Source organism: Homo sapiens, chromosome 4 (assembly GCF_000001405.40).
Source record: "Homo sapiens chromosome 4, GRCh38.p14 Primary Assembly".
NCBI classification, from domain to species: Eukaryota; Metazoa; Chordata; class Mammalia; order Primates; family Hominidae; genus Homo; species Homo sapiens.
Window position 1 is genome coordinate 68,383,170 of NC_000004.12, and position 25,662 is coordinate 68,408,831.

At 40.6% G+C, this 25,662-nt stretch overlaps 8 annotated features.

Moving 5' to 3' along the window:
• Positions 5,715-6,271: an enhancer, noted in NCBI's record as "H3K27ac hESC enhancer chr4:69254602-69255158 (GRCh37/hg19 assembly coordinates)". NCBI's record gives its function as "activates a minimal SCP1, AML or CMV promoter by ChIP-STARR-seq in primed H9 embryonic stem cells {active_cell/tissue: H9 hESC(primed)}" and the evidence as "EXISTENCE:reporter gene assay evidence [ECO:0000049][PMID:30033119]".
• Positions 6,272-6,827: an enhancer, noted in NCBI's record as "OCT4-NANOG-H3K27ac hESC enhancer chr4:69255159-69255714 (GRCh37/hg19 assembly coordinates)". NCBI's record gives its function as "activates a minimal SCP1, AML or CMV promoter by ChIP-STARR-seq in naive H9 embryonic stem cells {active_cell/tissue: H9 hESC(naive)}" and the evidence as "EXISTENCE:reporter gene assay evidence [ECO:0000049][PMID:30033119]".
• Positions 20,912-21,611: an enhancer, noted in NCBI's record as "OCT4-NANOG-H3K27ac-H3K4me1 hESC enhancer chr4:69269799-69270498 (GRCh37/hg19 assembly coordinates)". NCBI's record gives its function as "activates a minimal SCP1, AML or CMV promoter by ChIP-STARR-seq in naive and primed H9 embryonic stem cells {active_cell/tissue: H9 hESC(naive and primed)}" and the evidence as "EXISTENCE:reporter gene assay evidence [ECO:0000049][PMID:30033119]".
• Positions 22,312-23,011: an enhancer, noted in NCBI's record as "OCT4-NANOG-H3K27ac-H3K4me1 hESC enhancer chr4:69271199-69271898 (GRCh37/hg19 assembly coordinates)". NCBI's record gives its function as "activates a minimal SCP1, AML or CMV promoter by ChIP-STARR-seq in naive and primed H9 embryonic stem cells {active_cell/tissue: H9 hESC(naive and primed)}" and the evidence as "EXISTENCE:reporter gene assay evidence [ECO:0000049][PMID:30033119]".
• Positions 23,012-23,711: an enhancer, noted in NCBI's record as "OCT4-NANOG-H3K27ac hESC enhancer chr4:69271899-69272598 (GRCh37/hg19 assembly coordinates)". NCBI's record gives its function as "activates a minimal SCP1, AML or CMV promoter by ChIP-STARR-seq in primed H9 embryonic stem cells {active_cell/tissue: H9 hESC(primed)}" and the evidence as "EXISTENCE:reporter gene assay evidence [ECO:0000049][PMID:30033119]".
• Positions 23,712-24,411: an enhancer, noted in NCBI's record as "OCT4-NANOG-H3K27ac hESC enhancer chr4:69272599-69273298 (GRCh37/hg19 assembly coordinates)". NCBI's record gives its function as "activates a minimal SCP1, AML or CMV promoter by ChIP-STARR-seq in naive H9 embryonic stem cells {active_cell/tissue: H9 hESC(naive)}" and the evidence as "EXISTENCE:reporter gene assay evidence [ECO:0000049][PMID:30033119]".
• Positions 24,412-25,109: an enhancer, noted in NCBI's record as "OCT4-NANOG-H3K27ac hESC enhancer chr4:69273299-69273996 (GRCh37/hg19 assembly coordinates)". NCBI's record gives its function as "activates a minimal SCP1, AML or CMV promoter by ChIP-STARR-seq in naive H9 embryonic stem cells {active_cell/tissue: H9 hESC(naive)}" and the evidence as "EXISTENCE:reporter gene assay evidence [ECO:0000049][PMID:30033119]".
• Positions 24,702-24,996: a silencer, noted in NCBI's record as "tiled region #109; HepG2 Repressive non-DNase unmatched - State 24:Quies". NCBI's record gives its function as "represses a minimal TATA promoter and a strong SV40 promoter by Sharpr-MPRA in HepG2 cells {active_cell/tissue: HepG2}" and the evidence as "EXISTENCE:reporter gene assay evidence [ECO:0000049][PMID:27701403]".

Here is a 25,662-nt window from a genome sequence, read left to right on the forward strand (position 1 = left end):
CAGTCTTTTGTTGCTGTTTCCCACCTCCTATATTTGAGGAATTCTCTGCAATATGTATCTTTAACAGAAGCTCCAAAGGCCATGTGCTCTATATCCCATCTTTCTCTTCAACTACAGCACAGTAACGTAACTTAGGCTCACCTGATCAGCTGTACCCAGTTGAACTTTCGCTGGGAGCTGGTGATGCAAAAGAGTAGCAATGGTGGAGAATCTATTCTGATAGTGGCAGCAGTATAGATAGCAACAACCTGTTCCAGGGCAGTAGTGGAAATGAAACTAGTGGTGGCATACGGTGGCTGGTGCCTGAGGTGATGGCTGTACATGTGGTGGCATCCAGTGTTCAGCCATGGTGGGAGCAGTCCCCTTATGACCCTGGATCTATGGTTTTACTTGTGGATCTGGCTGGTGCATAGTGCTCATTGTTGATCTTCCCTTTTTCAAAACTTGTTTCTTTATTCTTCTTGACAATTCTCTTAGATATATAAAATCCTTTTAATAAATTCTGCTTAAATTAGAATTGGCTTCTGTCACTTGCATTAATATACTTGACAAATAAAATATGAAACTGACTTGCATAGCTCTATAACCCTATCAAGACAGGTTTTACGAATACTGTTTATATATCAGTAAGCAAAGACTAAGAGACAGTAATTTACTTGGCTAAGATTAACGTTTAGTAAGAACGAAGAGCCAGGAATCATACATAGTCACTCCGATTCTATGCCTGGGTCTCTTTCTTCCCTATCACAGTGTGGCAGAGATGGGTTAATTTTCTAAGTACACAGAAAGCTTACATTTCACAACTTCTCTTTTAATTCTCAGCATCATCACTTGGTGTAGAGTCCCCCAGAGAGCAACCTGATCCATATCACAAACCTGAGACAAATTTTGGTTGCCTTAAGCCCTTACAATTTGGAGTTTATTCTTATAGCAGCTAATGATCTTTACTCCAATTAATGCAGAAATTAGTAACAAAATTGAGGTGCTGTCATAACAAAAACTTAAAATACGTGACATTGACAGCTGTTAGCTGGATAGTGAGGAGAGAGATACCAGAGATCTATGTTATATGGTGGTAAAATTTTTGGTAAATTTATTACCTTCTTACAAGACAGAAAATGTACCTACTGGGCTTGTCGTTTTAGAGGAAGAGTTTGCAAAATCAAATGTTGGCAGAGTTTGTTGGGACTGTTGGCTTATTTGGAAAAGTGTAGTAATAAAAGAGATGTTCCCAGAAGAAGATTGACCAATTGATGAACAGAAATGAAAGTAGAGAGAGAACAGAAATTTAGAGCTTTTCAAGTTGAATAGTCCTAACTTTGAAACCCTAAATGGTAAGAAATGGACTTACAAAAGGCTTTGAATGAAAGAAGTCCAGTACAACTTGACACTAATAGTTGGATAAAGGGACTCACAGCAAAGATCAGATTAGGGTATGCCTTACACATTGTTTGCTCCAGATAGACTCAAAATACCTGCCATTAAGTAAAAAGAGGAACCACAGTGGCAAAGAAGCAACACAGATCAGACTAGACAATCATTTCTAGGAATAAACTATTGGTATAGTTACTGGCACGTGGATTTGATTGGAAACAAACAGATAGAAGAATATAAAATTTTGAATAAATGATTTTGCCAATGGAGTCATGAAATTGCAATAAAAAAACACGTAAGATATCAGAATTTAACACAACCTGCATGTCCTAGACCTTCAAGCAGGTGGCAGGCAGTAGGCAGTAGACTTGCACATTCATATAGCTGCCAAAAAGGTCATGTGCCCCAGTTCCCACTGCAGATGCGGTCAAGGAGAATAACAGACAGGGGGATACCTTCCAGAGGGTGAGGACATTGCATAAAAGAACTCTCTCCAGAAGGCATAAACAGTGCCTAATGAAGAATTTCTCCTGTCCCCAAGGCAATGTCTGCCCAATGGGATTTTAAAATTGCCCCAAACCAGTTGCTGTGTTTCTTTTTCCCCTTCTAAATGGAAGCGTTTATTGTGGTAATTGTAACCCTTCTCCACCGTTGTAATTAGATATGTATTTATTGTCTTTTTAGTTCATAGGTCTCCGGAGCCTGGGGCATCGCATCTAGATGGAAAGGACTGAATATCAACTGAAGAGCCTAAATTTTGGGCTGATGCAGTCAGTGATTAAGAGTTTTGAGTCAGTGATGGGGCGAATATGTTTCATGTGTGGAAAGATAAATAAAAGGGATGATGCATGACCAGAAAGGAGGACTGTGGCAGAAACAGCCTAGATGCTCACCAATCTTATTTCTACTGTTTGGGCAGATGGAAACTGCTATAGTTCAAAGCCTCTCTTGGAGTTAGATTGCAATCATATGACTGAGAAATAGAATGTGAGCGAAACTCACTGGTGTCACTTCCAAACTTGGCTCTTTAAATGTTCTTCACAATCATTCATGTACTCACTCTACTGTCTTATGACTATTGTACATATTCATGCACATAATGATGTTTCCATACATATAATGTGTAATAATCAGATCAGGGAGAGTCGCATATCTATCAGCTCAAATGTTTATCATTTCTCTGTGTTGGGAATGTTCAATATCTTCCTTCTAGCTATTTGAAACTATATATTATTGTTAACTCCTGTCATCCTACAGTAGTATAGATTATTATAAGTTATTCCTCCTATCTAGCTGTAATTTTATATCCTTTAACAAATCTCTCCCTGTCTCTCAGTAAAGTATCCTGAGATAGTGGAACTTCTCTGGTTAACACTTGGAAAAGAATTGCTGAAAAGAGCTGTCTCACCAACTTTGGGCTGTGATTTTGTTTTGTGAAGTCATTGTGATTTTGGGATGGTTGTTTATAGCAGCTAGCAAGTCTTAGCATGGCAAATACAGTAACTGTCATACTAAAAAATATGATGCAGAATAAATTATGTTAGGTAGATTAAATAAATCTATATTATTAATAAATAATATTTGTAAGTCTGAATTTTATCTGTTGGAATGTCAGAAAAGAATGGGGATTATATAAAAAAGAATTGTTAGAAACCAGAGTGTATCCTATATAGGATCATTAGTGAAGAAATAGATGGAAAAGTGGAAATGAATAACTATTTCTTCCACACAGAATAAAACCCAGAAACAAAGAAAAGTTAAGTAGTATTAGATAGTGATTCCCAAGCCTGGGAATGGGAGTCAGTGATACTCACCTAGGAGAGAATATTAGGAAGGAGTGAGTGACATGAAAAAAAAAGTCACGGAGGGAAAGGGTAAAGTTTTAGTAAGTCCTATGGATGACAATTATGTATTACCTGCAGCTTGTCCTACTAGAGGAATAGTCTCTGTGCCAAGAGGAAAAAAAAAGGCTCAGAATTTCTGATCTAAGACATAGGTAGTTAAGAACTCAAAAGGAAAAATGTAGTCAGTGTATAAGATGATGGAAATCTTGTTTTAAGAGAACTGAATTATTGGAGAATGTGTAAAGAAGAAAGAGGTGTTAAACTTTTGAAGGGGAGTCAGATTTGCTCACATTTTTAACCTTTAACAGTTTCCCACTTTTTTTTTGAAACGGAGTTTCACTCGTGTTGCCCAGGCTGGAGTGCAATGGTGCGATCTCGGCTCACAGCAACCTCCACCTCCCAGGTTCAAGTGATTCTCCTGCCTCAGCTTCCCAAGTAGCTGGGATTACAGGCCCGTGCCACCATACCCGGCTAATTTTTTGTATCTTTAGTAGAAACAGGGTTTACCATGTTGGCCAGGCTGGTCTGGAACTCCTGGCCTCGTGATCTGCCTGCCTCAGCCTCCCAAAGTGCTGAGATTACAGGCGTGAGCCACAGCGCCCGGCCATACTTTATTCTTTATGATACAATGTCTCACTCTGTTGTCCAGGCTGGAATGCAGTGGCAGAATCACAGGTCACTGCAGCCTTGACCTCCTGGGCTAAAGTAATCCTCTACCCCAGCCTTCCAAGTAGCTGGGACCACAGGCGTGCACCACCACGCCTGGCTAATTTTTAAATTTTTTGTGGGTATCACTATGTTGCCCAGGCTGGTCTTGAACTCCTGGGCTCAAGCAATCCTCCCATCTTGGCTTCCCAAAGTATTGGGATTACAGGAGTGAGCCACTGTGCCTGGCCTGGATGGGTAACCTTTGAAAAGTTATGTAAAATCTGTGTGCCTCAATGAGGATAGTAACAGAAACTTCCCTGGAATTACTTGAAGTTTAAATGAGTTAATCTATGTAAACAACCTAGAACGGGCCGGGCACAGTGGCTCACGACTGTAATCCCAGCACTTTAGGAGGCCAAGGTGGGTGGATCTCCTGAGGTCAGGAGTTCCAGACCAGTCAGGCCAACATGGCGAAACCCCATCTCTACTAAAAATACAAAAACTAGCTGGGGGTGGTGGCACATGCCTGTAATCCCCACTCCTCGAGAGGCTAAGGCAGGAGAATAGTTTGAACACAGGAGGCAGAGGTTGCAGTGAGTCGAGACTGTGCCACTGCACTCTAGCCTGGGCAGCAGAGAGAGACTCCATCTCAAAAAAAAAAAAAAAAAAAAAAGAACCTAGAACAATGGCTGGCATAGAGGCATAGAATAAGCATTATATGTATTAGCTATGATTACAAAAGAGGAATCTATAAGGTATTCTGCAGACAAAGAGAAGGAAGTGGCTAATTTAGTCTGCAGAGTAGAGAAGAACCTCAGAGAGCTGCAATTTGCAAAGCAAGGAGGAGAGATGAATATTTGTTTTGTTTTGTTTTTTGAGACCAAGTTTCAGTCTTGTTGCCCAGGCTGGAATGGAATGGCATGATCCCGGCTCACTGCAACCTCTGCCTCCAGGATTCAAGCGATTCTCCTGCCTCAGCCTCCCAAGTAGCTGGAATTACAGGCACCCACCACCATGCCTGGCTAATTTTTGTGTTTTTAGTAGAGACGGGGTTTTACCATGTTGGCCAGGCTGGTCTCGAACTCCTGACCTCAGGTGATCCACCCGCCTCGGCCTCCCTAAGTGCTGGGATTACAGTCATGAACCACCGTGCCCGGCCGAGAGATGAATATTAAAACATATTTGAGGGACTTTAGAAATTGTCAGTCTTTAAAGTCTGTAAGAAGGATGGTCTGGATGACTCCTTTAGCATGAACTCATTATTTAGTAGATGACTCCATCCCAATTAGTATTTATGCCTGTGGAAATCTCATATGAAGAGCTAGATCTGATTAGCAGCTCTATTATATCTAGCTTAATGCTCACAATTTGTTCCACAAAGCCATTCTCTCTCTCTCTCTCGTCTTTCCCTCCTTCCATTTTGTTAGATCACATATTATAATAGTTATATGCTTTAAACCCTTATTTAGAACAATAAAGATGACTGACTTACATTTCAGACATTGTCGCTCCATGTCGCTAGTTTTAAAACCTGCCCAACTTAGTAATAAAAAGTAATGGCTCCTCAGATAAGAGTTTCATGATAGTTTCTTAGAAACGAGTCAATGACACTACTGTAATAGCAGGGGAAAAGATTTCTAAGTCACATCATATTTTCAAACTGACAATTTTAGCTACAAAAGTACAACTTCCAAGAGGTCTTTCCCAGGTAAACATGGAAGGGATTTACCAGTCCACAGAAAAGTGACTGCCTCTCCCTTGGATAAATGAGATTCTTTGCTTCCTGAAAATGAGAAACTGCTATTTCAATTTCAATGCCAAAGATCAAATTTTCTGACTACTGTGAATGAGGCTGCTCAGCATTTACAACACTAAAAACAAAGAAAAGAAAGCCGAAGAGGAACAATTTTTTTTTAGCATTTGCCCCAGGCCTTTGCAATCAAAGCATAACCCAGCTTATTTTTGGGGTGACTACACCCTCCATTCTCCAGGTAGCTGAATCTTCCTTGCATGTGTGAAAGCATCACTGACAAAGTTTCGTTGTCATGGAGTTTTTAGATAAGTATCTCTGAGTTTAAAATCCCAAATTATATGCATCCACCCACCCTTATACTATAATTAATATCTGTCTTGGGGCTTTTTAGAAATAACTACACACATCAACAGTTTCACAACTGCTTCTGTGAGTGGTGAGATTAGTAGGCAGATTTCTAGGGGAATTATGCAGGTGACCAGTCATTAATATGCACATTGTTAAAATGTTTGAACGTTGTCATGATGATGATACAGCGCCGATGAGTGGAGGAACACCAAGTTCTACGTCCTCATGCTGGTTTAGATAAAACGACACTGACACACGTGGAGTGGTTTTAAGGAGCGGAAAGTTTAATAGGCAAGAAAGAAAAGAGAAGGCAGAAGGAAGAGGCTCTCCTGTACAGAGACAGAGGGAGGGGGGCTCCAAAGCCGAGAGAGGGAACCCCATCTGGCAGGGATACCAGCCAGGTATATATACAGAGGCTGGAGGAGGCAGTGTCTGATTTGTATAGGGCTCAGGGGATTGGTTTGACAAAGCATGTCATTCATATAGCCCAGGAAAAAGCCTGCCCTCCCACCCTAGCCTTTTAATATGCCAATGCAGGGCACCATGATGTTCTACCCACGTGGGGATATGTGGGGGCGGCCATGTTGCCAGGAAGTGTGGGGCAAGGTCAAGATGGCAGTGGGAATAGCCATGTTTGGGTGGACCCAGTTTCTAATGGATGGCATTTGCATATCAAAGGTTGCCAGCCTGGCTCTAAGAGCTGCTTTAAAAACGAAAACTTCCCAAGGACCCCTTTTCCTCTCTATCTGCCTAAAATAATTTCTTAATAACTCCTACAACAATGACACCAAGGGGCCAAATTCTAAGATTCCACCAACATGATGCAGTTGGCTTGGCACTTCATAACTCAATTAAAGGGATTTTTGAGGGTTGTTGCCTTAGGTGTACACTGCATGCTTTGAAGTTTTTCCTCATAAAGAACATAATGCAGTAACTTAGGAGAGACCATTAAAGCATTTTTCCCTTTAAGAACTGCAGCAATAATTATAATCTGGTAGCTACTTTCTTATGTTCTTGTAAGATAACTAGTCATCAACAAATTTTTTTCTCTATTAATTTCACTGCGATCAAATATTTCTCAATGAAAATAAAAGATAGGAATTTCCTGTATATATATAAACTCAGTTATTTTGAAACAACACATAACATTAGAATTGAGAAAGACCATGGAAATATTGATTTCAGTGTGAATGAAAAAGAAAAACTTGGGACCTTAATTCACTATGCCAAAAAAGAAAAAAATTAAGCTGAAAGATGAGTCATGCAAGAAACTGCCTTTCCTTTTGTTCCTAAGCAGATAGCTACAGATAAAAGTTAAACATCTCCACTGACTGCTACTCCATGTTCACCTTATTTTATGTAAAGTGCCGATTTACTGAGCCCAAGATCAATACTTAACTGACAATTCCCCTACTTATTCATTTTCCTCTGCAGCTTGTGGATTACCATACTCTCCCCTTTTCCCCTCCAGCTGGCTTTTCCTCTTTAAATATTGAAGCCTGCAAATTCATCCTTGGAGAAAGGCACAGACCACAGACTGCTTCTGTTATTCCATGTTCATTTCTTCCTGGCATGTCCTTAACCTTGGCAAAACAAACTTCTAAATCTATTTAGATCACAGAAAGGATTTTTTATTTCTATACTTCTTTAATGTGTTTTTAAATGTCTGCCTAATAGTTCATGCAGTTGATATTCCATAATCTCATCATGATTGAGTTTATTTCTCAGCTGTATAGAAGAGGACACAAAGGAACAGAAAAGGCAAGTATCTCATCCAGGATTACCTAGCTAGTAAAATGAATGCAGGAAAAAGGGAAAGGCCAAGAACAGTCACATCTATCTGTCTTTTCATTTTGTTTCTTCTTTTGCTTTTCATGCTTAGAAATTCTTTCTCCGCCTAGAGATGAAATGAATATTCAATTATGGTTTCTTCCAATTGTTTCTGGTGCTCATTTTTATATTTATATTTAACCTAAGATAATCTGGGATATATTTTGGTAGAACAAATAAATTAGATGTTTGTTCTAAGAGAAGTCTTGATGAAATGATTAAAAAGTTTATCTATAAGAATTAACAGATAATACAACTGAGAAATCTTTAAAAGGAAGAGTACTGGAACAGGTAACTTGTACTGACAAAAATTGAAACTGATAATCATCGTAACAATTAGATTAGCATGCACCGTTTTAAGGAAAACAAGATCAATTCTATTTAGCATAAAAGCAGCAATTAAAATGATATGAAAATCTGTTTTTCTCAGACAGCATATTAGTTTATTAATTTAGTATTTGATAATTTTTTCAGATACAGATAATATCTAAGTGATAATTTAAAAAAATCCAAACATCCTAAATAAAAATCTAAGCCAAAATCTCATAACAAGCCTGTCTCTTAATGAGCTGTGACAGTGAAATAATCCTTTTTACATGGTGATAGCTGATATTGTGATAGCTGTAAACTTAGCTGTCATCACAGATCTTGGCTACAGAGGCTGCTGTGGTAACGAGTGAACCTAATGGGCTTTGTTTACTTGAGTGAGGAGTTTTCTTCATGCCCCAACCCTGCCCGCTTGCAATGTGCATCTGAAGCCAGGAGGATGTCTCTCCAACTGATCGTATATTTCTTTCTTGTTTTTCCTTTTTTTTTTTTTTTTTTTTTGAGATGGAGTTTTGCTCTTGTTGCCCAGGCTGGAATGCAATGGCACGATCTTGGCTCACTGCAGCCTCTGTCTGCTGGGTTCAAGCGATTCTCCTACCTCAGCCTCCTGAGTAGCTGGGATTACAGGTGCCTGCCACCACCCCTGGCCAATTTTCTGTATTTTTAGTAGAGACGGGGTTTCTCCATGTTGGCCAGCCTGGTCTCAAACTCCTGGCCTCAGGTGATCCACCCTTCTCAGCCTCCCAAAGTGCTGGGATTACAGGCATGAGCCACCGTGCCCAGCCAGATCCTACTATCTTTCTACTTTTGAATTGCAATGTGGTTTATGTCTTTGGATTTTAATAAGCACAAAACTCCTCCTAGAATTAGCAAGATATCAAAAAAGGCCTCCAAGTGGAGAGCATTTGGCCTTGACCTCATGTAGGAAAGAAAGGAGTTGGCCAGGTGTGGTGGCTCCTACCTGTAATCCCAGCATTTTGTGAGGCAGAGGAGGATGGATCACTTGAGCTCAGGAGTTCGAGACCAGCCTGGGCAACACAACAAAACCCTGTCTCCACAAAAAGTACAAAAATTAGATGGGCATGGTGGTGTACGCCTGTAATCCCAGCTAGTAGGGTGGCTGAGGCAGGTGAGTTGCTTGAACCTAGAAGGCGGAGGCTGCAGTGAGCTGAGATTGTGCCACTGCACTCTGGCCTGGGCCACAGAATGAGACACTGTCTCAAGAAAAAAACAAAACGAAACAGGGAGAGTTTGAAGAACAATAATTCTATAATTAAAGTGTTTTTAGAATAGCCCTCAAGGATCCTCTTTCTATCTTTTATACTACCAAACCTATAAACATATATGTGGTTTCCAGGATGAGGAACACAATACTTGAGATGGAAAACTAAAGACCGGCTATGAGCTCCAAGGTTGAGGAACATATTTGCTGAACCCTTTTCCTTAAATTACATTTATAGAAATAGGAAAAATGGAATATCTCCATTAGGCATAATTCAAAAGCACTGAAGAAGTGTAGGGATGTGAAAACACTTCTAAAAAAGCAAGCTTGGCAAAATACCAACTTTTCTCGAGGAACCAATCCATTCTATTTTTCTGTTTGTTTGTCCCAGGTTCTTAAGCAGCATCTGATTTCTAAACTCTTACAAGGGTAGTCTGGATAAAGCACGTTTTATTTTCTCTGTTGAAAACTAAGTATTGCTTAAATGGAGAATCATGCCTTATTTGGTAGTACGCAAAGGTTTAAGGCATTTTTTTTCCTTAGATGAGGGATATCAATACAGAAAAGTCTGTCACTCTGTTTTAAAATTTATATAAGCTCAAAGTTTCAAGTGCTAGTTCATGGGGGAAAGAATTTGTTTATTTTTTGTTTTTGCATTTTCTATGACATCTTTTAGCATAAAGCCTTACAGAGATCATTTTTTTAAATAGTAGAAACATAAATGCTTATTGAACTGAGCACTCTAGCCAAGGAAAAACTTTTCATTAATTTTGAGATAAGAGGCAAAAATGAAAGCATATTATAAACCTTACTGATTATTTCTTCCTTACTTTGGCTATTGGCCATCTTTTAGTTGAAGCATATACATTTATTAAATGTATTAATAAATACATTAAATTAATAAAGTCCCATATTAAAGAAGTTTATGGAAAGATCTCTCCTTATGTCTTAGTGTTCTCTTCCAGGAAGAGGGTATACAGACTTTATAGGAAGCAGATATTCCCTCTTATCTTGTAATATATGTCCTTGTGCAGCATGAGAAGAAAACTTTAAGATCACAGACTAGCCTAAGAAAAATGATTTATCTTTCAGCAAATATTTCTCATCCATAATTTACTTTGGCTTACTTCTGTGTCTACAAGTGTCTGTTGTAGCATATAAATGAAACTAGTTTCAAACAACTTTTCAGGTGCAATAACAAAATGTATGTACCAGAGCTTCTGGATAGCTGAACACATGTCAGTTCCTGGAGGGCGGTGTGCCCAGGGATGGCATGGAAGCTCTGTGCCCCTTCCCCTATGTCTCACCCTATGCACCTCTTCATCTGTATCTTTTGTAATATCTTTTATTTACTTTTTTTTTTTAGAGACAAGGTCTTGCTCTGTCACCCAGGATGGAGTGAAGTGGTGCGATCTTGGCTCACTACAACCTCCTCCTCCCAAGTTCAAGCAATTCTCCTGCCTCAGCCTCCCAAGTAGCTGGGATTACCGGCATACACCACCATGCCTGGCCAATTATTGTATTTTTAATAGAAACGGCATTTTTACAGTGTTGGCCAGGCTGGTCTCGAACTCCTGACATCAAGCTATCCGCCTGCCTCGGCCTCCCAAAGTGTTGGGATTACAGGCATGAGCCACCGCACCTAGCCTGCAATATCTTTTACAATAAACCAGTAGATGTAAGCATTTCCCTGAGTTCTGTGGGCTGTTCCAGCAAATTAACTGAACCCAAAAAAGGGGTCATGGGAACTGCAACTTGAAGCGCGGTGGTCAGAAGTTCCAGAGGCCCAGACTTGCAACTGGTTTGTGTGTAGTTGGCAGTCTTGGGGACGGAGCCCTCAGTTTGTGGAATCTGACTCTACCTCTGGGTAGATAGGATTGGAATGGAACTAAAGAACATCCAGCTGGTGTCTGCCGCTTGGTGTGTTAGGAAAAAACTCCATGCATTTGGTCATAGAATTCTTCTTCTGTGTTGATGACTGTTGTGTTGTCAGAGGAGAGAGAAAACACAGTTAGGGAGAGTTCCCCTACACAATTGATGTCAGTGAAATGGGATTTGCTAGAACAGCCCTCACTCACAGAAACATGTGGTTTAGGAAGAGAAAGGCTAAAAGGCTGGGAGGATGAGGAATCTTTGATTCCTGGGTGACCATCGTGGTCACCCATGATATGAAGTTGCAGTTGTGTTGAGATCAGTTACTACAGGTGAAAGTTACCAGCGGAATTTAGAGATGGATAGAACTCCCCAGGAATTGGTTCACTGGATGCAAAAGGGAATGCAAACTAATAAGAAAAAAGCAAAATATTCAGTCCTTTGGTTGTTGTTACTTAAAATTGCTAAAATGAAAGTAAAATAGGGTGCTGCATCAGGACTTGAAGTTGGACCAAGTTCAGATGGGGACATGTCTGAGCTTAGTTAGGCCACTAGCCTCAAAGTCACACACAAAGGAGAAAATTATGCAGGGACAGTAGAAAGTACCTCTGAAACCTGTGGAAGACAGTCAATGTGAAGGCAGGGCAAAACCAAGTAACTATTTAAACTATTAGAGTAGGTAGTTAGGTAGGCATGAGCAGGACAGGAGCGAGGCCCCATCCAGAAATGCCAGGCAACCATCAGGTGATGGTTAGTTGGTTGTTAAACTGTTGCTCTAAAATAATAATTGGTCACAGCCAGTGCAGGGAAAAACAGTCTCCCAATAAATAGACAATACCTGAAACTGGTGATCAGCAGCTTCCTGATAAGATTTCAGGAGTTGGGTGAACAGGCTCAAGAATGCCCACTAAAAAGCAAAATGGCAGAGATTAACTGGTATATGATCTTTCTCTAGGAAAACCTGACTGGTAAGGAAAAAATGCCTCAAATGAGCATGTGTACAACTTTGGCAAACACAGTGTGCATGTTGCCCCTCCCCAAGTGCTGGCGGACCAGTGTGCATGCAGATAGCCCACCCCAAGGGAAGAATCAGGGGAGAAGAAATGCAAACCTTGGAACGATGCCAATGTATTCTTTCCTCCTTGCAGGCAAGAATCGTTTGCTGCAGACCTGTTGGATTCACAGCTGGTAACAAAACCGGAGAGTATAGTGTGAAGGAATTGTTTCATTTTTGTAGAATGGTGTTATCAGCTTCCTGAGGAACTATTGCTAAAATGGATTATAAGAATGACAAATGTAGGGGCAGTGTCTTTGGTTTCAAATCTTGCAGAGTGAAGAGCATGTTTGGGTTGATATAGGACCCACAGCTGACCATTTGAACAATCACAGATGGGTATATATGATCCAGATATGTAGGTTATTCCGCAAGGAACAGCCAGTCTGATAGATTGGATAAAAGCCATTATAAGATCTATTTGAGAAGGTGGACTGTTGAACTCCACCTATAAATGCCAAGTGGAACACCTTACATAAGGCAGCTGATACAATTCATATGCAAGCCATGTGTGACTGGCTTTATGAGGACATGAATATTCACTCAGTGAATATGTCCATTACCCAGGTCACGGTAAATACTCTGGTTAAGGGGACCCCATGTGACATTACTCCTGCAGACTCAAATAGTTCAAGAAGCCTTATCAAATTTGTGGACTGAGTTTCCCCTCATGGATCTCACAGATGCTAATAAAAACATTAGGTTAATTAATAAGAGAACAGTGAAAGGCAAAAGGGAGAGTCAAAGACTCATCCCCGGAAGATAGAAATTTTAAAATGGTTATTAAAAAATAAGGTGAATGAAGAAAACATTGATGGGGTGAAACTAAGAAGAAAAAGAAAGGGGAGAGTCATGGGACTCGTCCCAGCAGAATGGAAAACTTTAGATGCTTATTAAGAAATAGAATCAATAAAATAGACATTGATGGGGTTAAGCAAAGGTCTTAATACAACACTATTGTAGGTTGGATGGACCAGAGGGGGCCCCATCTTGTCCCCCAACATTAAAAGGCCGCAAACCAGTCTGCTGTATTTCTGCCAGCTTGGAGAAATTTAAAAAGCTGGAAGGCAGAGATTACAATGAAAAATCAGATCTAAAATTGCCTGGGGCAACAGTCAGGCAGACTAATCGAGATAAAGATTAATAAAAGGGCCAGGGTCCTTGGGCTCAATCCTTGGCTGGGGACCCAAAGCTTTTTACACAAGAGAGGGTAAAATGACCTGGGGGTAAAGAAGAGAAGATCCTGAAACTAGAACATAAAAATGTAAGAGTTGATAGGACTATGGAAGTTGGTATATTTGAAAACACTTTATGTGAAGTGATTGCATCTCTTTTACCTGATTTTTTTTTTTGTGGGAATGAACAAAGTATCTCATTGGGAAATATTTCTCCTCCCTGGTGCTGTAAAACAGAAGGCATGTAATAATCTGCCCTCAAGCAATATTAATTGGACATGCTAAATGGGAACCAGTGAGATTGCCCAAGTCCACACAGTGCAGAGTAGAAGCTAGAATGCTGTTATGGATAAATTCTCCACTTGATAAGCCTCTGTGATGCTATTTCCTGGATCTTGTGGCAAAAGCCTCTGAGCACCTCCCAGCAACATCTACTGGGACTTTGGACTATGGAACTTCCATCTGAGGGGCATTTACTGCTTTGCTGTGAAATGTTAGGTGAAGCTACCGCTATTAACACCTGAAATACCCATGTTGGCCCAGCGATGTCAGAGAAACATTCTAACAGGGATGGCAGTGCCCAGGAGAGTTCCATAATAAAATGGACATGGTTTATCGAGGATCATGCCACCTAAGAACTGCAAGGAGGGGATACTCTTGAGCAGGGTGTTTCTTTTCTCCTGAGACTGACTCTGGAACTGTGTGAGAAACTGCTGGATTCTACAGTGCCTGATAAATGGCTCTCAACTCATGAGAAAGAGCTACTTAGTTTGTGGCCAGTAATTCCAAGGTAAATGGACACCATTGTGTTTGGAAGGCAGCTACTTTGATAAAAGAAGGTAAAAACAGATCTGCTTGGTGGGCTGAATTGCACACTGTTTTTCTAACAGTGATGGAAGAATTGATCAATGGTAAAAGCCCCTGAGTTTGGGTGTTTACTGAGCTGTGGGCAGTGTGACCCATGGCCTGGCCATACACTCAGGCAAGAGGGCCATGGAAATTTGGCCTATTAAATGGATGCACATAGGAGCACTGTTCTATGGAGATTTGAGGGGTGCATTAAAGAAGAACAAGTGAATGCCCATCAGAAGAACTCCCTTCCAGGTTCAGAAAGTGACTGGAATTGACAAGCAGATATCCCCATGTACTCCCTTGAAGTGGCCACCTGGGCCTTTGAAATGAGTGGATATGGGAGTATTGTAACAGGGCAGAGATGGGCTGAATGTAGAGATGGTTTTTTTGCACCTTCTCAGGCACAAAATGCCAGAAAGAACTGTTGTGTTTCTCAATAAGAAAGCCAGAGACTGCTGACGGCTTTGGGACAGATTCTCTGGTGGGAAGGCCCTGAACATAGCTGGCAAGTGCGACAAATGCTGGTAGCCCTGGAGGCTACAAATGGGTCTTGACAGGAATAGACACTGGCTATGGAGTGGATGTTGCTTGCCCAGAAGAAGATGAAAATTCTCTGAGTGCCATAAAAAACCGGAACAGAAGATATTACATGGATATAGATGGCTAACCATCAGTTTTTCAGACCAAGGAACACACTGTACAGCCCATAAGAATAGTCCAACAATGGACAAAGAGATATCCACCTAGAGTAATAGTTTGATAGAGCAGTAGAGCAGGCAATTGAAACATTGATTGTGTAAAACAGGGGGAGATAAAAGCACAAAGGGCTGGCTCACATGCCTTCCTGTCTGCTCACACTCAACATGAGCAGGACTAGAGTGTTTCTGCTAGATTTTTTTTCTTTGTTTTTCTGGTTGATCTGGGGAACAGGGAGTTGGGAGGATGCTGGTATGACTATGCCATTCTTGCCAAGGGACGAGTACACTGGTATAACAAATGTAAGTTTTTCTTTCTTCCCCAAATCACCTAAAAGAAATTTATTTTTTTCTCCCCTGGCTGATGCAGTGGTCCTAGGACCAGGACTGCAATTACAACTGCTGGATTAGCAGGGGTGATTTCTAAGCAAAAACCTGTAACTGTGTTTTGAAACCTTATATCAAAATTCCCAAAGGCATGATGGGAGTGGGTTGTGTCTTCATGCTATCTAGAAAAATTGGGGCTATCAGTGAATGCAGCTATATTGCCTGGTGGTAAAAATAGCTCACTAGTTCTGCACCTATGTAACCTTACCCGGTCTGAATTGGCGTGGACTGAGAAGGAGCTAATTGCTAGACTTGTATTACTACTTGCAATGTAGACCGGCACTGTGGTGGTTCTAATTTCTCTTCCAAAGGTGAAAAGGTTTAGGTATTAATGGAGAGAAGGAGAAATAGTAGCTGAGAGTAAATAAATGAATAAATGAGTTATTAATTGAGAAAAATTCAGTATTACATAACAACTCAAAAGAGTCTCAGAGCAAGAGATGACATTGTCTCTTAGCTTAATTATCCCAGATGCCTTAAAGGGTGAAGCTGCGTATTTACTGAGGCCACTCCTGCTTTCGAGACCTGACAAGATTGAGAGGAAACTTGCAACCCTGAGTGGCCTCATCCTGGAAGACATTCAAACAATATGAAGGATTTGATTAATTGTTAATGATTGTGCATAATATATATATTTTTGAAGTAAAGGCACCATGGTGGAAAACCAGGGAGTGGCCTGTGGTGTTATGATATACACTGGTTTTAGTCCACAGTTCCTGGCTTATAACTCCTATATCCCTTGTTACAATATTTTCTTTTTTTTATATAATGTTGGGTATGTTAGGCCTCAGGAGCAAGCCTCTGACCTTCTCCTGCCTTACTTTCACTCTAATGTTTCCCCACTTTCTAATTGTGACGCTTAAGACTCTCACAGGAGAGGGTTCCATCCTATATCCTGAGGGAAGGAATGCTGATGTCATGAAGCTTTCATAAAAACCCAAGAGGACAGGGTTCAGTGAGCTTCCGGATAGCTGAACATGTGGCACTTCCTGGAGGGTGGCGCACCCAGGGAGGGCATGGAAGCTCCGGGCCCCTTCCTTCATACCTTCCCCTATGGTTCTCTTCATCTGGATCCTTTGCAATATCCTTTATAATAAACCAGTACATGTAAGAAAAAAAAAAAAAATGTACTTACAGTTTCCTTCCTTCCTTCCTTCTCCTTCCTTCCTTCCTTCCCTCCCTCCCTCCCTCCCTCCCTCCCTCCCTCCCTCCCTCCCTCCCTCCTTTCTTTCTTTCTTTCTTCCTTCCTTCCTTCCTTCCTTCCTTCCTTCCTTCCTTCCTTCCTTCCTTTTCTTTCCTCTCTCTCTTTCTGACAAACTCTCGCACTGTCACCAGGCTGGAGTGCAGTGGCATGATCTTGGCTCACTGCAACTCCTACCTCCTGGGTTCAAGCTATTCTCCTGCCTCAACCTCCCAAGTAGCTGTGACTATAGGCACATGCCACCAAGCCCAGCTAATTTTTTTTGTATTTTTAGTAGAGACGGGGTTTCACCATGTTGGCCAGGATGGTCTCATCTCTTGACCTTGTGATCCACCTGCCTCGGCCTCCCAAAGTGCTGGGATTACAGGCGTGAGCCACCATGCCTGGCCAACCTACAGTATTTTTTCTAAGGCCATCTCTAGCTGCATACTTACCACACTAGGTAAATTTTCTGTAAAGGCATATGCCATAAATCAGGATTTTTTTGTTGTGGTTTTTTGGTCAAGATTAGTTTCTACATATCATCCAGTATTTGTTACGTCTAATGAGAGGTTGTATATATACATGTGAATGTTTCAGGACCATATGGCAATTATTCCATTTAAAATATTGCTGTCCTACTTCTCAGAAAAAAGGCAAGGCATAAATTATTGTTTTTACTATTTTAAAAAATGTAGCCCTTCATCAGAGCTTAGATCTATAGGTATAAATTACTAATGCTCATCCCTTTCCAGTGGCAAAAAGGAGATATCAAATTATTTTGAGATTTGAGTAAGAATAAAATTAATAAATAGCAAGAGGACAGGTGTGTGAAAGTTTTCATATGAGTAACGCTCGGGTTACTTATTTCTTTCCTTTTAACAAGAATTATTTAGCCCTTGCCTGGCTCTTGCTGCAGTCAATTTGAGAGGAAAGGACATCTTGCCATTGATTTTAATTATTCCCAGTCATCCCATTCCTTTTTTAGTAGATTGAAACTCTCTTGGGCTGGTTTTCTAGCTCCACCTACGTATTGGTTGGCACTGTCTTCATTTAATTTTGCCTGTTATTATTCCTTCATAATGCCTTTCCCTGAAGTGACAGAACATCCTTCACCTGCCAAGGTCAGCAGTTTGCTACAGGAGATGACACTTCCAGGATCATATGCCAAGTCTATGTAAGGGCACAAGCGAACGGTGGTGGTAACTAATAGTCTTAAAGTTATCTTGTTTATTCTTATTTCAGCTTTCCTGCTATATTTTTTGCATACTCTCTAAAGTAATACATGGTAATTGGAAAAATGTGAGAAGATAAAAAAGAAAATCAGAGAGAATGAGATTGTGTATTAATTAGTTATCACCAAACAAAACTCCAGACTGTATAAATACCAAACAAACTCCAGACTGTATAAAAAGTAAAAACAGGAAATAATCATTTCAAAATTTCATTGGATTAATGTTTTCTATTCCTGCATTCTTCCCCCTCCTTCTTACCTCTTCCTCCTCATCTTTCTTCTTTTCCCCATGTCAAGTAATTTCCAAGATGGCCCAGGAATAAAGATATGCAGTTACAAAACATTCTAGCCCTAACTAGTAAGAACAAATATTCTCTTTCTGTGAATAGAAAGGATAGATGGATCTGTATATACACAGACTTGCATGTGAGTTTTTAGAATATGTACATCAGTTAGATTGTGTTAAGGCACAAAGCCATAGAGTTATGCCCCACATTAGGAAATACTTCCAGGAATGTGTATTGCATGAATAAATAAATGAACCAATAGCTTACTATGTGTCAGATTCTTTGCTGTCCTTTAAATAGATGATCTTATTGAATCTTTTCCCCATATTAGGAAATACTTCTAGGAATAAGTATTGCATGAATAAATGATGAACCAATAGCTTACTATGTGTCAGATTCTTTGCTGTCCTTTAAATAGATGATCTTGTTGAAAATTCACTGTGAAAAGAATGGGGATCTAGCATGATAAAAAGATACTTGTTGACTTTATGGCAGGACACAAGTTACACATTTTGCAGACTTAAGAGAGGCTGTGTGGCCTGAATTTTGAAGTAGTACCTACTGCTATAGTAGTGGGCACTCAGATTTTGTAGAATTAGGCTTATCAGAAATCCTCAGTTTAATTGTACATTCTATGCACTTAATATTTGAGATTTGTTACATTGTATTGGTGTCTAATATTTTATTCATTCCCTATGAGTGCCAGAAAAGGAGTGAAGGTAGAGAATATTTCATTTGTCAGTATTCCATGAAACTACTGATTATGGGAAATTCATGAAAGAGCTTACAGTTTAAAATTCTACAATGGATTAATTAAATATATATATCTGATTACAGCTGAAGTTCAAGTCCCTCAGATCAATCAGCAGTATTTTCAGAGATAAGTAGATTTATTTCTTAATTAATTAATTAATATTTATGTGTCTATTAAATATGGTTCTTCATTGCACATACTTTGAAATTTTTTTTCTTTTTTAGAGAGAGTGTCTTGCTCTGTCACCTAGGCTGGAGTGCAGTGGCGCAACCTAGGCTCACTGCAACCTCTGCCTCCCAGGTTCAAGCAATTCTCATGCCTCAGCCTCCAGAATAGCTGGGATTACAGGCACGTGCCACCATGCCCAGCTAAGTTTTATATTTTTAGTAGAGATGGGGTTTCACTGTGTTGGCCAGGCTGGTCTCAAACTCGCAACTTCAGGTGATCTGCCCACCTCGGCCTCCCAAAGTGCTGGGATTGCAGGCATGAGCCATCACACCTGGCCCATACTTTGATATTTTTAACCATCAAATTAGTGAATAAATTACTGAATAAAACTTAACCATATCTCTTCCATGGGTAGGGAGACTATGGCATCACAAAGGAACAGTGTTGTTATATCTTTACAATAGGAAACATTGGACAAAGATGGAAGAGTAAGGACAATGTTATCATTTTCATTGTTCCATCATCATAATGTGCCATGTTGTGTATAGACTTCTCTACACTGTGTGGCTGCTTCTTTGGAATACACAGTCCTAAGCATTGCTGGGATTGTGAATGTCAAACTACTACTATAGATATTTTGTATCTCAGAACTTAAACTTGATGCAGTAATTATTGTCTTAATCATTGGTTTTACCCTTCCTATCATTGTGTTGGAATAAGGTCTTTCCTGAAGTGAGTACTATAAGCAATAGTATAGAAATACACAAGAGACAATAAAGTACGTGAGGAAGGCTGGGCACAGTGGGTCACACCTGTAATCCCAGCACTTTGGGAGGCTGAGGCGGGTAGATCACCTGAGGTCAGGAGTTCAAGACCATCCTGACCAACATGGTGAAACCCTGTCTCTACTAAAAATACAAAAATTAGCTGGGTGTGGTAGCATGTGCCTGTAATCCCAGCTACTTGGGAGGCTGAGGCAGGAGAATCACTTGAATTTGGGAGGTGGAGGTTGCAGTGAGCCAAGATTGTGGCATTGCACTCCAGCTTGGGTAACAGAGTGAGACATTATGTATATATATATGTGTATATAAATATATATGTATGTATGTGAGGAGGATAATAGTTAATCCTAACAGATTAACTTGGAATCATTCAATAAGTAGACTGAACTAAAATTGGGAAGCCATTATTTGGTATTAAATTATGGGCACCAGGGGTAAATGACTGACTAATAGAGCAGGAAACACCAGACAGAGAAAGGAATGAAATACAAATGATGGTCAGTAGGGAGGAGGTGGTCAAGGAAAATGAGTTATGAACAGAAAGAACTCTATTTACAGGCTGACACTATAAATGCTTGTAAATGAAAAATAAAATTCTAAGGCCTCCAGTGAACTGAATGGAACCCTCATCTTGGCCAAGGGTATTCCAAAGTTAACCTGAAACACTAGTTCAAGCCATGACGGGAATGAGTGGTCAGACATGCCTCATTATACCCTCGTCCTGTTGGAATTCAGTCACTACTGACCAGCATTAACATTAAAACAGAGACCTTGGCCGGATGCGGTGGCTCACACCTGTAATCCCAGCACCCGCCTCAGCACTTTGGGAGGCTGAGGCGGGTGGATCACGAGGTCAGGAGTTCAAGACCTGCCTGGCCAAGATGGTGAAACCCCGTCTCTACTAAAAATACAAAAATTAGCCGGGCATGGTGGTGGGCACCTGTAATCCCAGCTACTCGGGAGGCTGAGGCAGAGAATTGCTTGAACCCAGGAGGCGGAGGTTGCAGTGAGCCAAGATCGTGCCACTGCACTCCAGCCTGGGTGACAGAGGGAGACTCTGTCTCAAAAAAAAAAAAAAAAACAGAGTCCTTAAGACAACGAAGGGAGACACTGTAGCAATAAGAGACCAACATAGCAGACAGCAGGCCCTGAAGAAAACTGAAATATTTTACCCCAAGATATATTTCTTTGACATATTTTGAAATGGCCCTGCAATGGTGTCTGTTGTGGGGAAAATCCATATTCTGTAAAGAATTCCCTTCCTTTTCCAAGTCTTTTTCCTGATCCAGGAGAGAATTAACTAAGAATTTGGCACCTTTTTAAGTCTGATGAGAAATATTTACAGTGTATTCTCTCTGAAGCCTCCCATCTGGAGGCTTTATCTGCATAATAAAAGCCTTGATCTCCACAACAACCGCTTTTCTTAACCCAGACACTCCCTTCTATTGATTCCACGCCTTTAGATAAACTCTTCAACTGTGAATCCACCTATGACCTGAAATCCCACTCCCCACAAGCCCTCCCAACCAAGTTGAGTTGTCCCACCTTTCCAGACCAAACCAATATACATCTTACATGTATTGATTGATGTTTTATGTCTCCTTAAAATGTATAAAACCAAGCTGTAGCTGACCACCTTGGGCACATGTTCTCAGGACTCCTAAGGTTGTGTCACGGGTATGTTTTTGACCTTGGCAAAATAAACTTCTAAATTGTTTGGGAACTGTCTCAAATACCCTTTGGGTTACTCCCTGAACTATGCCAGAAAATCATTGACATTGTGAAGGGAAAATATCTTGGGTCCCCCAAATCACTAAGCTAAAGGGAAAAGTTAAGGTTGGGAACCTCTTAGGGAAACCTGCCTCCCACTCTATTCAGTCACCCCTCTTCTCACTGAGATAAGCGCATATCTGATTGCCTCCTTTGGAGAGGCTGATCACAAACTCAAAAGAATGCAACCATTTGTCTCTTATCTACTTATGACCTGGAAGCCCCCTCCAAGCTTCCAGTTGTCCTGCCTTTCCAGACCGAAATGATGTTCATCTTACATATGTTGATTGATGTCTCATGTCTCCCTGAAATGTATAAATCCAAACTGCTCTGACTGCCTTGGGACATGTCATCAGAACTTCCTGAGGCTGTCATGGGCTCACATCCTCAACCATGGCAAAATAAGCTTTCTGAATTAACTGAGACCTGTCTCATAATTTGGGGGTTCATGTTTTGGTAACCACAGAGGGATTCTAAGTAGAGGTGCCCCTGACCTTTGACAAATCTCCTTTTGGTGTTTGGTATCAGCTTGAGCTATCTTTATGGCTCAAACCAATAGGATAATTTGCTGAGGTCTGGAAGCACCCTCTCCAGAGAATCCCTGATCTTCCAAAATTTGGTTGAGATCTACAGTTTATTTTGGTACGTAACTCCTTTTTTTGAATTTTACTTGCTTCCAACCCAAGGAAGGCAAGTTTTCCCTGCTTCCATAATGATGGAAGGCAGATAACTCCTTTATGGAGTTTGAGCTCACTTCCAACAGGGAAGATGAGTTTTTGTTGTTGTTTGTTTATTTGTTTTGAGACAGAGTCTTGCTCTGTCACCCAGGCTGGAGTGCAGTGGCACGATCTCAGCTCACTGCAATCTCTGCCTCCTGGGTTCAAGTGATTCTCCTACCTCAGCCTCCTGAGTAGCTGGGACTATAGGCGTTCACCACCATGCCCAGCTAATTTTTTATTTTTAGTAGAGACAGGGTTTCAACATGTTGGTTAGGCTGGTCTTGAACTACTAACCTCAAGTGATCTGCCTGCCCTGGCCTCCCAAAATGCTGGGGTTACCGGTGTGAGCCACCGCACCCAGCCTGATGAGATCCCCTCCGCTGCCCCCTACTTCTAGGATGGTAGAGAGCAGCCTTCAGCCTGAAATCCATCCCTAGGCAAGTAAATGATGTCAGGCCTCTGAGCCCAAGCTAAGCCATCGTATCCCCTGTGACTTGCACATACACATCCCGGTGGCCGGTTCCTGCCTTAACTGATGACATTCCACCACAAAAGAAGTGAAAATGGCCTGTTTCTGCCTTAACTGATGACATTGTCTTGTGAAATTCCTTATCCTGGCTCAAAAGCTCCCCTACTGAGCACCTTGTGATCCCCCACTCTGCCCGCCAGCGAACAACCCCCCTTTGACTGTAATTTTCCTTTATCTACCCAAATCCTATAAAACGGTCCCACCCTTATCTCCCTTCGCTGACTCTCTTTTCAGACTCAGCCCGCCTGCACCCAGGTGAAATAAACAGCCATGTTGCTCACACAAAGCCTGTTTGGTGGTCTCTTCACACGGATGCACATGAAAAATGAAGTGGGGTTTGTCTTGGTTAAAGTTAAGATTTCCAACCGCCTGATCTTAATTTCTCCTTACCATTAGAGTGCTTGGTAATCATGTAAGTTGTGCAATTGTTTGTTTTGCTTAACTTTTGTTTTGTTATTGTTTTTTGTTTCTGGTTTTTGTTGTTGTTTCAGTCTTTTTCTCATTGGGTTTGATCAACTCTATCCAACTAGATCAAATCCAAAGGAAGTTCCAAATTATGGAACAAGGCCTCTGAAGTGGCTAAATTCCCAGAAAAACGACGACAACAACAACAGCAACAACAACTACAAAAACGGTGGTGTGGTAGCAGAGAAATATACCAGCAAAAGGAAAAAAAAGAGGAAAGGCTTTGATTTTGACTACTAATAGGCTTTATTTACATAGCAAGGTGGCCTTTTTGCTAATCAGGCCAAACTGAAAGAGCAATGGCTATTACTTCTGAAATAGCAGCAATTTGTCCTAGCTGAAATATGGTAATGATATTTAAAAACATATTTTTTAAAGGGGCTCAGTGGCTAGTCAGCTTAATTAAAAGCTAACATCCAAGATGTGTGTGTGTATGTGTGCATATGTGTGTGTTTGTATTTAAAAGACCCTCATGCTTTTGTTTTTGCTTTTCTCCTAGGACCTTGTCTCTTTTTCGAGCAAAAGTTTTTTCTTCTCAGTTGACTGAATTCTGTTTTCTTCACTTGTTTGTTTCTGCTCTCTCTCCTTTCTCTTGCACCCTCTGCTGCATGGGGAACCTAAAATAGTTCGTAATAGCCTGGGGTTCCTTAAAGAAAACAGTGAAGGCACCAGACTCCCTTCGGAGGAGAAACCTGTTTTTCCTTATGGAACCCCAAGAATGCAAACAGACAAGGTCCTCTCAGCTCTTAAACTGCTTACTTTTTTTCACTCACGTCCGTGTGAAGAGACCACCAAACAGGCTTTGTGTGAGCAACAAGGCTGTTTATTTCACCTGGGTGCAGGCGGGCTGAGTCCGAAAAGAGTCAGCGAAGGCAGATAGGGGTGGGGCCGTTTTATAAGATTTGGGTAGGTAAAGGAAAAAGGGAGGTTGTTCTCTGGCGGGCAGGGGTGGGGGTCACAAAGTGCTCAGCGGGGGAGCTTTTGAGCCAGGAGGAGCCAGGAGAAGGAATTTCACAAGGTAATGTCATCAGTTAAGGCAGGAACAGGCCATTTTCACTTCTTTTGTGGTGGAATGTCATCAGTTAAGGCAGGAACCAGCCATCTGGATGTGTATGTGCAGGTCACAGGGGATATGATGTCTTAGCTTGGGCTCAGAGGCCTGACACTTTTGTATTGTGTTACCTGGTTTTTTGTTTTTGTTTTTGGCTAACATAGTTATTGCAACAGAGTTTGCTCTTGGGTTTTTAAGGAAGAGTGTGTTTTAGACACTAGAAATGTCTTTGCTTAAAAAAAATTTTTCTAAGTGCACTTAAAAAAACTTAAAAAAGTATCATGTGGTCTAACCTTATTATAATTCTCCCATTCTGGAGACCCTGGAATCAGTGTGGGCTCTGCCCACAGCTCAGGGATCCAGTTAAAAGATAGGTAGTTCCTATCTAAATAAAACTGGTCTCCTTATCCAATCTTACGATAGATTTCTGTAATTTTATGTTTGATTTGGCATCTATCTTTAATCTCCCTCTAGCATCACCAGACTTTTTCTCTCAGTACCTTGTGATGTAAATTTTGCTATTTGCATTTCACCTGAGTCGTTTCCTTTAATTTGCAAATTTAAGCGTGTTTACCTGACAACTGCCTAGGGTTGTGAAACAGATTATCAAAAATCTGAAAGTCTAAGATAGGGAAAAAAAGGTTTTTATAAATCTATAAGATGTAATTTATCAGCATGCCTAATATGTCTATGTATTTATATGTTATGTACAGAATGTTTCACTACTCAAAATAGATAAAAGAGCTCTAATTAATTGGCTTAAGAAAACAAAAATGCTTGAATCAAATACTTTATTGGAAAAAAGAAAAGACTAGTCAAATGCTTATTCAAGTTTATGTAACTTAAGTAAAATCTTTAATAAATAAGCTAGCTTTAAAATTATTGGTAAAGTAATATTAGAAATGTCTTAAGAATTGCCAGCATACATTTTTGTTTTGTATTTATTAATCAAGCAATTTCATACTTATCCCTGTCAAATGCTATGAGGTGTCAAAATTTGGCATAGTGGTTACAAAACTATAAAACCAGCCCAAGAAAATGATCTTTCCCTGTGTAATCTTTAAATAAATTAGAGATTGATATTGGTGTAATAAGCTACATCATTTTATTTTATTTATTTATTTATTTGTGTTTTTTTGAGACAGTCTTGCTCTGTCACCGAGGCTGGAGTGCAGTGGCACGATCTCGGCTCACTGCAACCTCCACCTCCCAAGTTCAAGTGATTCTCCTGCCTCAGCCTGAGCCTCCTGCCTCAGTCCGGAGTAGCTGGGACTACAGGCGCATGCCACCACACGGAGCTAATTTTTTGTAGTTTTAGTAGAGATGGGGTTTCACCTTGTTA